This window comes from Homo sapiens, chromosome 8 (genome assembly GCF_000001405.40).
Source record: "Homo sapiens chromosome 8, GRCh38.p14 Primary Assembly".
Taxonomy (NCBI): domain Eukaryota; kingdom Metazoa; phylum Chordata; class Mammalia; order Primates; family Hominidae; genus Homo; species Homo sapiens.
The window spans coordinates 85,317,703-85,334,862 of record NC_000008.11 but is presented as its reverse complement, the minus strand read 5'-3'; the positions used below and the strand labels follow the sequence as shown (position 1 = coordinate 85,334,862).

Genomic DNA, 17,160 nt, shown 5'->3' with positions numbered 1-17,160 from the left:
ATGTGCCACCACACCCGGCTAATTTTGTATTTTTAGTAGAGATGGAGTTTTACCACGTTGGTCAGGCTGATCTCGAACTCCTGACCTCGTGATCCGCCCGCCTCGGCCTCCCAAAGTGCTGGAATTACAGGCGTGAGATACTGTTTTTAAAAAGTACTTGCTATCAGAACTTGCATTTGATAGGGAAAATAAAAATTTCAGAGGAAGGAAGGCAGGAAAGAAGGGAGGGAGGAAGGAAGGAAGGGAGGGAGGAAGGAAGGGAGGGAGGGAGGAAGGGAGGGAGGAGAATAGGAAGAAGAGAGATTAAATAAGTGATATGGATAGAACTGTTTTGATTTGTGGTGGTTACTTTATATTGGATGATCAGGAAAGAATTATTTAAGGAGTGGCATTTGAGTTCAACCCTAATTCAAGACAAAAGTCTGCCATTTGAAGATCATGGGGAAGGAAATTCCAGAGAAAATTAGAAGCTAATGCAAAGGCTCAAAGTTGTGAACATGTGACGAAGTATAACCTGTAAGATGTGAATGTTGATAGGTGGGGAAAGCAAGAAATGAATGATAGTTGTTGTACTTATTGATTGAGCATTTAAAAACCTTATCCTAAGAAGGTAAAATTAAGCAGGTTTGGCAAGAAGGAAATCTAGAGTTCTATTTTGGCCAGATTAAGTCTGAAACATCTATTAGACATCCATGTAGAGATATCAAGAATATATCAAGAATACATATATACATACTTGGATGTACAAATCTAGAGTTTGCAGAGACGTTAAGCTGGAGATATTTATTTGAGAGATGTTTGGAAAGGGCACGAACGTGCCTGAAAGAATCTGTTCTTGGCCAAGACTCCCAGGAACTCCAGGAACCCTTTCTCATAAATTTACTATAAAGTACCTCATGTGAGAGAAAATTACTTCAATTATTTTCCCAAAAACTAGTTAGTCATATTTCCTGATCTTTTCAAAACAAAGAGAGATACATTTAAAGGAGTAATATTAAATAACAATATCGTAGGAAAGGACATTTTGCTTACTGGTTCCAGGTTTTGTAATCTCTACCTGGCACACAGATAACCCTTCCTACGAGTGAGAATGTAACTCTTCTAATCCACTGGATAAAGGTTCACATAAGTTTTATGTATCTAAGCCAAGATACATCATCATATGGTAACAAGTTAACTTATAACTTATCTTTTTTCATCACACTGGTATAAATAATTAATTAACCATAGTATCATTTTTAGCTTCACGTAGCTCACTGGAATTCTGCAAAGTACTCCAGCCTTGCTGAAGCTGCCTCAAAGGCTGATGGTTTGGCAGTTATTGGTGTTTTGATGAAGGTGAGTTACAGATAATTACACAGCTCTGCTTCCACTGTCTTACCAATTAGACCTCAAAATAGAAGGAAATAAGGCAACATATATTTTAGAATTTCTTATTTTAAAGTTTCCATTTAACCGATGACTACAGGTGAACAAATAGTTCCCTAGTATTTTATTGCTTGGTTTTATCTCTGCTTTTCCCTCTTAAAGAGAGAAATGAGTTTCAGGTGGAGGTGAGATAGAAATGTGTTCACAGGGAAAAAGGAATTTCTATTTTCCAGCTCTTCCAAATTCCCTTTCCTCTAAATTTCCTACATCATAGATTCTGAAATTTATTAATTTAATGTCTCATCAGGAAAGAAATATTATTAAATATTAATAAGGAAACCTGAAATCATAGATTCAGAAATTTATCAATTTAATATCTCATTAGGAAAGAAATAGTAAGAGAATTTTTTCTTACAAAGAATATTCAATTGATTTTTTAAATGGGAGATGTTGCTCAAATCCTCTATAGAAGAATCCCTGAAAAGTTCTATGAAAAAGTTATTATTAAATTGGGTATGCCCGGGTAACCAAGTAACTCTTGAAATTATAGCACTTCTACTTAACCTTTACTGAGCACTTACAATATGCCAAATACTGTAGTAATGAAAACTAATATAACAGACCAAAATAAGAGATTTGTTTTTGTGTCAGTTTTGATAAATTACTAGATTTTGCCCTGTATAACTTTGAACATATTGCCAATAATTAAGTTTAAATCAAACTTTTTGTTTGCTACTTTTATCTGTAGGTACATATTATAAACAATTTATAGAGTACAAAGGCCCTCAAAGACATACAGCTTGAAAAATCTCCCCTTCTAAAGCAGAGAGAAAATACCTTACCTCTTGTCAGTTGTTAATTGAAAAAAAATTCAAAATTTAGCTAAGCAGTGTTCGATTGATAATAATCTTTATCTCATACTTTATTTTCTTAAATCTCCAGGTTGGTGAGGCCAACCCAAAGCTGCAGAAAGTACTTGATGCCCTCCAAGCAATTAAAACCAAGGTAAACACACTAAATAAGTAGTTTAAATCAGAGAACAAGAATTTACAGATCTATGGAAATCATTTAATGAAGTATTAAAACTGGGGAGTAGGAAGGCCATAGTAAAAGCTACCAACTGAAAATCAAGGTGCTACTTCAATACTGCCTACCTCTGAGAAAGTCTCTAATGCAGGGAATTGTTTTGGTTTTCTGTTTTTCATAGTTATGGTTTATTTATTTCAGCAGAATATGGCCTGTAGAAAACCAGATTACATAGCCATTTAAATTTGCTTGAAAAACTATATCTAACAAAATTGTGATTTTCCATTTGATAAATAAAGATATCTCTAGTTTTTTAGCAGTAGAAAAATTCAGAAGTAAAGGGCATTCTTTTGAGATATGGTTGATATACAATCTTTGATAACCATAACTCTTGTCAACTCAAAAAAAATGGATTTTTTGATATATACAAACTTAGCTTTATTGTTTTAAAGGTAAGCAGTTAAACCATAAATCAGAGATTTGTCATGTTTTGCAGCATGGAGAACTGTCATATATTTGTGTAAAATGAATCTGATTTATGCTGATTCTAGAAAAGATTAAACTTAAATGATTGTCTTATAAAGTATAAATGACAGAGATAAAAAATAAGCCCTCAACTCAAGAGTTATCAAAAAAATATGAAAAGAAAATATAAGGAAATAATTAGTGAAGATAAAAGCAGAAAAGAATAAAATAAGAAAGAAAAATGATGGCCGGGTGTGGTGGCTCATGCCTGTAATCACTGCACTTTGGGAGGCCGAGGCGGGTAGATTGCTTGAGGTCAGGAGTTCAAGACCAGCCTGGCCAACATAGTGAAATCCCATCTCTACTAAAAATACAAAAAATTAGCTGGGCGTGGTGGCGCACACATGTAGTCCTAGCTAATCAGGAGATTGAGCCAGGAGAATCGCTTGAACCCAGGAGGTGGAGGTTGCAGTGAGCCGAGATTGTGCCACTGCACTCCAGCCTGGGTAAAAGAGTGAGACTCCATCTTAAATAAATAAATAAATAAATAAATTTTGAAAAGAAAAATGATGGCTAAGTAAGGGGTAAAATTTTATCAATAAATTGAAAAGTTGATTCTTTGGAAGAACAACAAAAAAGTCAGACTTTGGGGAAGCTGGATAAAGAGAAAAAAAGCCGTACATATAAAACATTATTAGAAATAAATAGGTTGTGACTAAAGATATAGAAGAAAATTTTAAGAGACAAAATTTTTTATAACATTATGCCAGTAAATTTGAAAATTTAGATAAAATGGATAATTTTCCAAGAAAATGTGAAATAAGGGAATTGACTCAAAAGGAGTTAGAATACCTAAATAGACTGAGAACCTAAAAGTAAATTTAAACAATAGTCAAAATGTATCTATTAAACAAAAAGACTAGGCCCAGACCACTTCATGGAAAAGGGTTACTCAACTTTTAAGAAACAATCATGCCAGTGTTAACTAAAGTGCCCAGATGAAGGAACAGACAGAAAACTTCCCATCAATTTAATGGAATCTGATACCAAAACCAGGTATGAAAACTACAAAACAGACAAACAAAACAAAAAACATAGGATAAACTTTCTTAGGAATATAGCTAAAGGAAATCCTAAAATTTATTATAACAAATCAAATTCAACAGTGTTTTAAAAGAGTAGTTTCTGAACTAGTAGAGTTTATCCCAAAAATACAAGAATGACTCAATATTAGAAAATCTTAAATTAATTCATTATATTAACTAGTTAAAGGTGAAGAAAACCTCATGATCAACTTGTTAAATGCTTAAAATCATTTGATAAAAGTTAATGCCCTTTCTTTAGGATGAAACAAAATGAAAGAAAACTGTCTGAAAACTTATTGAATTTGATAAAGAATTTACCTAGAAACTTGTATCAACATTTAACTTCATAGTGAAACACTTGAAGCATTTACATTTCAGTCAGGGACAAGACAAAAGTGCCACTGTGACCATCACAATTGAAAATTATAATAAGGGTCCTAGTCAGTGCAACAAAATAATGAAAGAGTACATATTATGATAGATATCGAAAGAGCAAAAACAAAACTATCATTATGTGCAGTTGATATCATCACTAACATCCACCTGAAAACTCCAGAAGAATCATCTAAAATACAGAATGCATAAAAGATTAGCATACAAATATCAGTATATTTCCTACACACCAGTAACAATCAGAAAAGACGATAGGAATAAATAGAATAAAACTGAAACAACCAATATGCATGTCAATAAAGATTTTTGCCATTGAAATAGAATCTGGCATCATTCCTAGAGAAAAAAATAAAAGCTTTATACTAGAAATTAAATATGTTTTAAAGATATAGATTGTAAAAAAGATTTTTGAATCTTTGCTTATCTGCAACCAAATGAAGAAGGAAGACGTCTTGGTCAAAAACTTACATATAACACATTTTTCATCTTTTTTTCTTCTGTTGATATTATTGTTTATATCCACAAACACGCCAGTCATGAAATACTAAATAGTAGAAAAATCAATGACTCTTAGCTAAAATCTCTAAATAATGTATAACAAGATAATATAGCATATATATGTCACATATATTCATATAAGTATTTTATATCATGCTGTAATGATGTATTCTTTTCTTCCAGGGCAAACGAGCCCCATTCACAAATTTTGACCCCTCTACTCTCCTTCCTTCATCCCTGGATTTCTGGACCTACCCTGGCTCTCTGACTCATCCTCCTCTTTATGAGAGTGTAACTTGGATCATCTGTAAGGAGAGCATCAGTGTCAGCTCAGAGCAGGTAGAGTTGTGAATGAATGGGAACTGGGAATGCGTAGCAGGAATATTACTTTAATTGATAGTATCAGTGAGAGAGATTATTATTTCAGTCAGCTTTGTGAGAAGTTCATTTTTCCTCCCAACTTAAAAATATTAATTTGGGGACATAGGTTTATTAAACTATCCAAAAATGCATTATAATACTTTATTTTGCCTTTATGCAGAAAAAAAATGACTCCCGCCACTCTTTCCTCCTTAATAAGGAAAAGTCCAACCTTGTTAAATATCTTCTTAAGCATTTCAGAAATAAAGGAAAAACTGTGACTGGACATTTCAATAAGACTTTGGGGAATTGTGGCTCCCAGCTGGCATACCTTGATAGTTGGCAAAATATTTTTGTTCCTTTTGTGGAGCTTAAACTTTTAAATATTCAACAAAATATCTCATTAACTGTTGTTAATAATGGTGATTATAGTAAGTATCATTCATTGCTCTACCATGTTTATTACGTGCCTTACATATGTTTTATTAGCCAATTCTCATAACAAACCTACAGGACAAGCATTGTAGCCTGTTGCTAACTGACATTTATTGAGCACATGCTATGTGTCAAGTATCATTCTAAGGGCTTTGCATGTATTAACCCATTTAATCTTCACAACAACACAGTGAAGTAAGTACTTATGGAAACTAAGGTACCAAGCTAATAAGTCGCTCGCCCAACGTACCCCAGCTGAAATTAAAAAGTTGATACTTTAACCCAGTCATCAATAATTAAATCAATAAAATAAAGCAAATAATTAAATTTGCTTTATTTAATTGATTTAATTAAATAATTAAATCAATAATTAAAGCAAAATGCCTGGTTCAAAGAAATGAATGTAAAGGATTTGGGGCTTTCTCTCTTCCTATTAGTGATATTACTGCAATTTCTAACTCAGTTTTCTAAATATCAGTGCGTTAGTAATCCTGTAAATAAAACGCTTTATGTAACTTTAAAAACTTTTTATTTTTAAAATATTTTATCCTTCTAGCTGGCACAATTCCGCAGCCTTCTATCAAATGTTGAAGGTGATAACGCTGTCCCCATGCAGCACAACAACCGCCCAACCCAACCTCTGAAGGGCAGAACAGTGAGAGCTTCATTTTGATGATTCTGAGAAGAAACTTGTCCTTCCTCAAGAACACAGCCCTGCTTCTGACATAATCCAGTAAAATAATAATTTTTAAGAAATAAATTTATTTCAATATTAGCAAGACAGCATGCCTTCAAATCAATCTGTAAAACTAAGAAACTTAAATTTTAGTTCTTACTGCTTAATTCAAATAATAATTAGTAAGCTAGCAAATAGTAATCTGTAAGCATAAGCTTATGCTTAAATTCAAGTTTAGTTTGAGGAATTCTTTAAAATTACAACTAAGTGATTTGTATGTCTATTTTTTTCAGTTTATTTGAACCAATAAAATAATTTTATCTCTTTCTTTCTGTTGTGCATTCAGTTTCTAAAACCATTAAGTTTCTACTCCATTTACATTCAAAAATCTTAAATACTTTACTTGCAAGAGTATTTTGCTTCAAATACAACAACCTAAGAGCAGCTGGAGATGAAATATTGGGAAATTCATTTGCTTACTCCTGAAGACAAAAATATAGCTGAGATGACCACTGGATTTAATATCGTTATGCTGGCCCAACATTGCTACCATTTGTGTTGTCTGTGATCAAAATGATTATCTTTTATATAGGAAGATGACGCTTCTGGATATTGCTTTCACTTCTTCTCCCCACGTTAGCAAGGACAATGCTTCTCTGCCATTATTACAACTAGTTAGTTTGCATGGAGAATCTTTACTTTAAAATTGGAAGAAAAGTCACAAGTGAATGGTTTATAAAAATGCTAAAGAAGTCATTCTTGCTTAGAATCATATAGAAACATCATGCAATCTTTTAGTCAGATGTGCGCTTCACCTTATGCTATTTTTATCTTTAATTGACACACAATAATTGTACATGTTTATGGAGTATAGTGTGGTGTTTTCTGTTTGTTTGTTTGTTTTTTGAGACAAGGTCTCACTCTGCCAGTCAGGGTGGAGTGCGATGGTGTGATCATAGCTCACTGCAGCCTCAAACCCCTTGGCTCAAGGGATCCTCCCACCTCAGCCTCTTGAGTAACTGGGACTATAGATGCCTGTCACCATGCCAGCCTAATTTTTAAATTTTTTTTTGTAGAGACATGGTCTCTCTATGTTGCCCAGGCTAGCAGTGTGATATTTTGATTCATGTATACAATGTGTAATGATCAAATCAGGGTAATTAGCATATCCATTACCTTAAACATTTATCATTTTTTTGTGCTGAGAATATTCAAAATCCTTTCCTCTAGCTATTTAAAAATATACAATAAATTATTGTTCATTATAGTCACCCTATTATGCTGTAAAACACTAGAACTTATTCCTCCTATTTTGCCGAAGCCATATCTACATCCAGAATTCTACAAATCCTGTGTCCAGTGTTTAATCTTGTGATTTACTTTAGTTATCTCATTTGAAGTAGTAAAGACCAAGCCCAATTGTTCATTTCTGTAAGTTTTAGTAAAATTACTTAAAAAACATTAAGCAGATTCTTCACTGCTCTAATAAGCCTTTCTGCAAAGGCTGTGTTTGTTTTACACCTAAAAACCATACTAAGAGACTTCTTTTGAAATATTTGACTTGGGGCCTAGAATTTAGGTGAATCCTCTTTATTAAAATGTAATTTGTTTTTATTTTATTTTTAATCAAAATTAATTTGTTTTTCTACACAAAGTTGGGAAATTTATAATTTATTAATTGAAAAAATAAATACAAATATAATGGAGTCAAGTAACACATTAGCTCTGCCCCCACGTGTAATCTCTAAATATAAAATATTTTATTTGCAAAGGAATCCAACTGTGTATGATACTCTATATTTGCCAAATATTGAGAAAGCCTGCAACACTTATACCTGGCCTAGGATCCTATTACTTCACATGAGTTGTATTGATAGGATTTTAATTATAAAGTTATCAAAGGCTCTCAAAAGGTGGGAGCCAAAGAAAGAGGGATATGAGCTTAAGTTGAGAAATACATTTGCAAAAGATGTTCATTTGAAAACATTTTCTGAAAAGAAATTAAACAATTTAGAAATAAGTTTCACAGGAAGGATCTGAAAAACACTTGACCTGATGGTCCATATATTTTTTAAGAAGGTTAAAATGGATTCCAGCATTTAGATATAAGTCTGTAAGTCTTATTATGGACAGGGCAAAGATGTGACAAAAAAATACATGATGACCATCAAACATTATCCCTAAGGCAAATGCCAAATGGGTAGCATGTTTCCCCTTACTGCCTCTGCCAGAATTTCATATATTTGGCAGAACTCATGAGATTCATTATGAATTTCTCTGAAGTAGCCAATAAAAACAGCTGTTGAGAGGAGGTATGTAAACTAGGCATTGGATCATCTGAGAGTGTAACTCATATGTGTCACTGACTCACCCTCCTCTTGTATGTCCTCATCCTTTGTCAACTTACATAAAGAATTTAAACATCCTGCAAGGATTCTCTGGCTTTTCCATGATGTTTGGCAGCTGACCTTCTTTATGCCACATCTATTGGCATCTAGAATGATAAGCCAGCTGGTGAGGCCCAGCGTGGGCTCTAGGATAAAGAGTGCTCTTACTGCATGCTGTTTTCTGCCTTTTCACTTGCCCTTCAGAAATACCCTGCTGTACCGTTATCACTATGGCACCCTTCTGCTGAACTGTGAGTCCAGGTAGACCAAAATATTTTCTATATTGTTCATTTATGTAAGGTTTAGCAAAATGACTCAAAATACATTAAATTCATCATAACAGGAATTAGGGCAAAGGAAAGAAAGAAAAAGAAATATCTTCATTAAATTTAATTTCCTTACATGACTCAAAAGAGCAGATATCTATTTACTATAACTCTAGGAACTCCCTATCCGTGGTCCTTCTCTGTTCTGTGGTGGCAGATTCCTACCAATATGTGATTAAAGCTATGAAACTTCTCTCCCTTACCAAAAATGTTACATAATCAAATATAGCCAAAATTTTGCACTGAGTCTTAGAATGTTTAGAAACTCAGCCTTTTGCTTCCTTCCCCATCACAAAGTCATTCCTGGACCTCAGGAAAAGATCCCTGCTCTAAACTATTTAAAAAGTTAAAAATGGACTCCAAGTCTCTCTTGATCTTGCATCCTAGTATAATATTTATTTTTGCTTTTCTTCCTCATCCTTTGTAACACATACCTACAAATGGTATGACAGTATATTTCTGGTATCATTCATGAATTATCTTTTTTTCCTTTCTCCTCTAAAAATATTACTTTGGGTTGATATAAGGTTTCATTGCAGAAGAGATATAAAAAGATTTTTTTTAAAAAGAGAACTCAAACCTTAGTGAATTGTTTATTAGTGGGTAATAAAAGATTACAAATGAGAATAAAAGGGCATAGAAGAGAAAGTTTGTTTGAGGAAGATATCATTGGATAAATAAAGGGCCAAAATCATTTTAAAAGCCATCAATATTCTCTGCATCCAAGACCATGAAAGCATAAGGAAATACTTATTTTATAAGCATTATCTTCTTGATTATCTGTAAACCCCAAATGTTTATTTACTCACTGATCTTCTGAGACACTGCACAGATTTTCTTATTACTCTTAATAGATTTACCAGTTTTTAATTTCAGTAGATACACATAGAGATAGGCAGACAGACAGATATAGCTACTGTATAAATGAGTATATCTACTTTGGCAAAATGGAACTATGGATGTAGGTATTTAACCAATTAAAAAATGGTAGCTGATTTTGTGTTCCTAGACTAAAAGCTAAGGAAAATAATGAATAGAATAAAAAGTATTTTAACAGAAGTATAACATGCTTGAAATAAATGTGGAGAAGTAGCCATAGGATTCTTGTACAAAAAATCTTGCTTTCAATAAAGAAGTAAGTTATAAGGAGTAAACTTAGAGTCTTAAAAATATGCACACACTCTCACCATGTACCAAAACAGTGAACTGGTGAACAAAGGGGTTGTGTTTGAAGACTTTAGAATGCTCAGATCACAAGTGCACTTACTAGATGTTGCGGGAAGTCAGGGACCCCAAATGGAGGGACCAGCTGGAGCCATGGCAGAGGAACATAAATTGTGAGGATTTCATTTTAATATGGACATTTATCAGTTCCCAAATAATTTCATAATTTCTTATACCTGTCTTACTTTAATCTCTTAATCCTGTTATCTTCATAAGCTGAGGATGTACATCACCTCAGGACCACTGTGATAATTGTGTTAACTGTACAAATTGATTGTAAAACATGTGTGTTTGAACAATATGAAATCAGTGTACCTTGAAAAAGAACAGAATAACAGCAATTTTTAGGGAACAAGGGAAGGCAACCATAAGGTCTGACTGCCTGTGGGATCAGGCAAAAAGAGCCATATTTTTCTTCTTGCAGACAGCCTATAAAAGGATGTGCAAGTAGAGAAGGTATCACTAAATTCTTTTCCTAGCAAGGAATATTAATATTAACACCCTGGGAAAGGAATGCATTCCTGGGGAGAGGTCTATAAATGGCCGTTCTGGGAATGACTGTCTTGTGTAGTTGAGATAAGGACTGAGATACGCCCTGGTCTCCTGCAGTACCAGGCTTACTAGGGTGGGGAAAAACTCCGCCTTGGTAAATTTGTGGTCAGACCGGTTCTCTGCTCTCAAACCCTGTTTTCTGTTGTTTAAGATGTTTATCAAGACAATACATGCACTGCTGAACTTAGATGTTTATCAGTAGTTCTGCTTTTGCCCTTTGCCTTGTGATCTTTGTTGGACCCTTATCAATAGTTCTGCTTTTGCCCTTTGTCCTGTTCCCTCAGAAGCATGTGATCTTTGTTAGACCTTTATTAGTAGTTCCGCCTTTTGCAGTTTGAAGCATGTGATCTTTGTACCTACTCCCTGTTCTTACATCCCCTCCCCTTTTTTATTTTATTTATTAACCCTTAATAAAAAACTTGCTGGTTTGAGGCTCAGGTGGGCATCACGGTCCTACCGATATGTGATGTCACCCCCGACAGCCCAGCTGTAAAATTCCTCTCTTTGTACTCTTTCTCTTTGTTTCTCAGCCAGCTGACACTTATGGAAAATAGAAAGAACCTATGTTGAAATACTGGGGGTGGGTTCCCCCAATAACTAGAGTTTTCTCACAATGGCATCTTGGATGCTAATCCCCTAACTATGAGAAGACAGAAATAGCATTTATGTTATAGAGGAACAAACTTTAAATGGCTTTATTTTTCTCTCAAAACTAGAGTATATCTTTCCCAAGTCATTAATAAACATTTTAATACCCCTTACAGGTAGAAGCATGTTATGCTATTTAGGTATGTTACCTTCTACTATGTTATTAGATGATCTAAATTGCCAGCAGAAGCAAACATTCACAACAGAATCACACTGTGCTAAAATAACATTTAGCTACTTAAAAAAATAGTTAGAACCTGATCTCACTCATATATCAAAATATATCCAAGATAGGTTAAATTTTTCAATGAAATCATTAATATGCTAGAAAATACATAAATATTTAAATAATATCTGGTAGGAGAATTTTATTCAAAGACACCAAAGGCAAACCCAGGAAATGGCAGAATAATGGATTGAACTGTGAAAAATTAAATATGTTGGTAAAAGCAGCAACAATAAAAAAATTTAATAAAAAGGAAAATGACAACCGGGAATAATGTTTCAATATAAATGGCATCCACAGGAACAATGTCCTCGCTATGTAAAAAGCTTTCACAAGTTTTAACATAAAAATTGAATTTCCAAGAGAAAATGTCAAGAAGACATAAAGAGGCAATTTAGTAAAGAAGAAATACAAATCATAAATAAATACATTTTTAAATGACCCAACTTAATAATCAAAGAAGTACAGATTAAAATAATGTTCTATCAATCTTTACATTCTTTAAATCAGTAAAGATTTTTAAATAATACACAGTGCTATCAATGATGCAAAGAAATAAGAACTGTCATACGTTGTTGAGAAGAGCATAAATTGGTACCATCTGTTCACTATTAATACAAAGGGTGTGTTCCAGAAGAAGTATTATAAAAAATCATGTAACAAAAAACGATAGGTTCAATGTAAGAAAAAAAGAGTTAAGTGGCAAAATTTTAAACTTGCTATAATAAGGTTCGCTTATCCATAACTTTGGCTTCAAAGGCTATGTAAACTTTTATTAGGTTTATGATCTTAAATTTACATTTTTATCCAAGACTGTTTCAAATGCCCACATCCAATGCCTATTTGATATTTCCATCTAGATGTCACAAGAACATCTCAAACTATTCAAAACATGGTTCATGATGCCCTCTCAAAGCTAGTTCCCACCAGCCCCACTGTGCACAGAGATGATGAGGCAGCAGGAGCTTCTTGTAGCTCAGGGGCTGCTTGGCATGGTGGAAATCCATAAAACATGGCCCTAATCAATGTCACCACTGAGCTCGATGTGACCCCTTCCTTCTAATTTTTCAAACGTAATATTTTTCTTATCATTATCCTCCTCTTTTTTTCTATTATCAAGAGCAGTGTTCTTGGACTAAACTTCGTATGTCACAAGCTACTTCCTACGTTTTTCTTTTACAGGAATGATGATACCTACCACATGAAGAAACAGATGTATTTCTAGTCCCAGTTCCATATTCCCAGGAAAAGGACCCCAGCTGGCTTGGATGGGACCCAGCTATGGTCCTATCAACTGTAGTTGGAAATGGGGTGGAGATCCCACTGAATTCACTGACATTTAGGAAGATAGGCTATAGGCTGCAGGAGCAGATGCAGCTTAGGGGCCATTGTGAACCAAGTGGAAACTTTAAAAAGGGTTACCACTTCTTTAAAGATGAGAGAGGAAAAAGACTGGGCTAGGAGTAAAGTTTGGTGAATCTAGGTAAAGTTTAGAACTGGGCTCATTTGAGAAAGACACTTCCAATTCTAAAATCTGAATTTTCCCTGAAATTTCTAATGGTAGAACCCTAGTATGTCAATTGAATATCAAAAACAGCCATTTCCTTCCACCCACCATATGAACTGAATAGCACGTCAGGAAGTTATTTTTATTTTGTAAATACTAGAGCTAATCATTAAGCCATTTCCAGGAAAATAAATCCCTATACTAATCAGAAAATTAACTGTGTTAGTCAGAAAATCAACTCAAAAAGAAATCTAAGCTTTCAGGTGGAACACGGATTAAACAGCAGCATTTGTTACTTCTGCAGAAATGAAGAGTCTCAGAAAGCTCTGCAGCTTAAATAACATGTAAAAGAATATAAATGGAAGTTCCTGGAAACATTTATTGCTTCCTTAGATAGCTAAGATTCAATGATAGATAAAGAGAGAAGTCGTACCTAGAGAAATATTTTAGAGTTGAGAGATCTCTCAGGAATTTATTTTCTTTCTAAAATTGGGAAACGATTTTTTTTTGTATTTTTGTACATTGGCAATGTTCAAGAAGGGTATATAAACTTTAAATTCCTTATTTCAGCAGAAATATAATTTTCTGTTGCACTGAAGGAGAAGTTAACAAAGACTCAATTCCAGAGACCACAGCCCCAAGCCAAGCATTAAGTGCTTGGGAAATGGCACCAATTTTATTAAAAACTTGGGAAATCCATAGTTCTGCCAAAAGGATAGCTCACATTTTGCTTTACTTTCTGATGATTTTCCTTGACATATTTTTCCCCTTAATTTTACTGGACAAAGCAAACAGAAACAGAAGCTCATCCATCTCCCCCTTCATTCTCGTCCCTATTTCAAGTCATTATTTCACTCTGAATTACTTACAGTGACTCTCAAATCTTTCACCTAACTGAGCCCCTGAGCTTTTGATAAAAATTTTACCTCCTCAGGGTCATCTCCCCTAACCAGAGTTGTCAGGCCCATCATTATGTTTTCTCACAGTACCCTGTGCTTCTCCTCAATAGTACTTAGTACAGTTATAATTTGTGTAATTACTCATTTAGCATTGGTTAATCCTGCTAGGCTGTAAACTCTATGAGATCAGTGATGGTGCGTGTTGTCTTCCTTTCTATATTTCCAGTAATTACACAATGTGTGATACATAGTAGGTGTTCAATCGACTTTTTTTAATTTTAATTTTAATTTTTTGAGACAAAGTCTCACCCTGTCGCTAGGCTGGAGTGTAGTGGTGCAATCTCAGCTCAGGACAACCTCTGCCTGGTTTCTCCATGTTGGCCAGGCTGGTCTCAAACTCCTGACCTCAGGTGATCCACCTGCCTCGGCCTCCCAAAGTGCTGGGATTACAGGCATGAGCCACTGCAAGCCTGGCCTCAATAGACTTTTGACAAATGAGTGAACAGAATTTCCTGGCCAGTAATCTATAATCCACAACTGACTCCCAAACCTGGGAAATAAAAATTACCTGAGGAATTTTGGGGGTTTTGTTAAGTACAGTTTTCGAAGTCACCTTAATATTCTCACTCTAGAGATCTGGGCTGATTGAGTATCTTTCTCAAAGATACTCAAGTGATTTTAGTAACCTGCTATGGTTTGCAGCCCTCCCCTTACCCCCATCTTTCTCTTTATCTCCTTACACACACACAAACACACACACGTACACACACATTTTCATGCACGCACGCACACACGGTTATGGCTCTCCACTGTCTTCCCAAGTTAAGTACAGATTCCCTAAAGTTCATAATATGTCTTCCATCTACCTTGACTTTGTAAGACTTACCTCCCACTTGTTTGTTATTTGTACATTAAGCCTAACAAACCCATTTGACATTCTCTAGACATATCTTGCTTCTCTGTCTCTATTCACGTTCTTCTCTTCTCCAATGGTCTCCTACTTCTTCAGTCAAAATCCTGGCCATATTTTCATGTTGATTTCAAATGCCACTCCTCTAGAAGGTTCCCACAGCTGGATACAAGCCTTTCCCAGCATAGCGCTCCCCCCAGAACATCAGATGAGCATCTCCCCAAGCTCTTCCCCTTTGTCAGGTTTTATAATTTTCACGCACTTGATTTCTCTCTTCTTTTTTTCTTGTTTTGGAGACCAGCAGGATTGAATTTGCATCAAGCAGTGTAGTTGATCTAGCTATTATAAGGCATATGATAAACATATAAAAAGACCCTATCTTCTTTTAGAGATAGGGTCTCACTCTGTCACCCAGGCTGGAATGCAGTGGTGTGATCATAGCTCACTGCAGCATCAAATCTGGGTTCAAGAGATTCTCCTGCCTCTACTTCCCAAATAGCTATATCTCTTCTTTCAGACAAGAGAATGCAAAAAGAGCAGATGAGAGGAAAAAAATAAGGAAGGCAGTGATTCATCTTATCACTCATGTTTGTATCTCTTGAAGAACTTGAGAAGTTAAAGCATACAGTGGGCACTCAATGTATTTGACTTGAACAGAGATGTAGCTGTTCTCACCATCAAAAATAATAATACGGGCTGGGCACGGTGGCTCACACCTGTAATCTCAACACTTTGGGAGGCCAAGGCAGGCGGATCACGAGGTCAGGAGTTCAAGACCAGCCTGGCCAACATGATGAAACCCTGTCTCTACTAAAAATACAAAAAATAAGCCGGGTGTGATGGTGGGTGCCTGTAATCCCAGCTACTCAGGAGGCTGAGGCAGGAGAATTACTTGAACCCAGGAGGCGGAGGTTGCAGTGAGTGGAGATCGTGCCACTGCACTCCAGCCCGGGTGACAAAGCGACACTCAGTCTCAAGAAAAAAAAAAAAAATAATACGTTGTGTGAAAAATCAAGCACAAAAAGCCAATATGACAGCTGATTTCTATGCAGGAAAAAAATTTAAGAGTAAATATACATTAGAAAAGTGATACTCTAATTCTATCTTTACTATTCAAACATTTACTAGGTATTTCACCATATGGAAAGCATTACATTAATATATAGCAGGTAAATGAATAAGACACTGATCCTATTAATGAGAATCTTACACATTCTAATTTTATTATATGTCTTTATTTTTTCAACCATTTACTATGCATTTACCACCTAGAAAGCACTACCCTCATGCTGCAAGGCATACAGCAATGAATAAGAATAGACCCTGTCACAAAGGACCTTACAATCCTATTGGGGGAGACTTAAATAACTGTAAGTCAAATTGGAATTAAATGCATACTATAATATGTACACAACCAAATGCTAGGAAGGCAGAGGAATAATGATTTAACTTCGACTTCCTGTTGCTATTTATCCAGCAAGGTTTTTCTACTGGTATATGAGCTACAAATTTGCCTCTCTTCCGGGATACAATCAATCTGCTCGACAAATTGAAATGCTATAGAAGGGTTTGAAAGCTGCTGTGGGCCGTTTCTCCTGGGATGAGGAATACGCGAAAAGAACAGGCCTAACTTAAGAAGAATAGATGTCATTGAAGAAAAACCATCTTGTCGTACAAACTAAAATACGTAAAAGATAATGCAACAGACAAAAAGTAGTAAGTCCATGCTAAAAATTCAGACACAAGATAATGGTGTGCCCTGGAAAAAAAGCCAGGACCAGCTTGATAATTCAGAATGTAGACACACAATCAAGAGTCCCAGTCCCAAAGCTGGGATTGAGGAAACAGACTTCAATTTCTGTATTTAAAAAAAAATAGATAAAAGTGTGTTATTGTCCATATTTTAGACAACCTTGGTTAACAGTTCCTGGACTCAGATACACAGAATTGGACAGAAGCAGTTATTAGAACCAGATCACATGGTCAATAGCAGTAGGAGGGTTGGGTAGGTGTGGAGTTCCCAGTTTTTAGGGCAGACTTCTCATATCCCTTTGTTTAAGCTCAGGTTATATTTTGGATTGAGTTTGCATCAAGCAGTGTAGTCGACCCAGCTATGAAAAGGCGCAAATAAAGAGGGCTTTTAAAAAGAGATATAAGAACAACATAGTCCCTTTG

At 35.0% G+C, this 17,160-nt stretch overlaps 1 protein-coding gene across 7 annotated transcripts in view; it reads left to right on the top strand.

Moving 5' to 3' along the window:
• Positions 1–7,255, top strand: part of CA1 (carbonic anhydrase 1) — a 50,506-nt gene extending 43,251 nt beyond the window's left edge. For all 7 annotated transcript variants that reach the window (NM_001291968.2, NM_001291967.2, NM_001128831.4 and 4 more), the window contains 4 exons: positions 1,243–1,338; positions 2,311–2,373; positions 5,019–5,174; positions 6,187–7,255. In NM_001291968.2, coding sequence (NP_001278897.1) covers positions 1,243–1,338; positions 2,311–2,373; positions 5,019–5,174; positions 6,187–6,303 — 432 coding nt within the window. In that variant the 3' untranslated portion in view covers positions 6,304–7,255. The remainder of the gene's footprint in view (positions 1–1,242; positions 1,339–2,310; positions 2,374–5,018; positions 5,175–6,186) is intronic.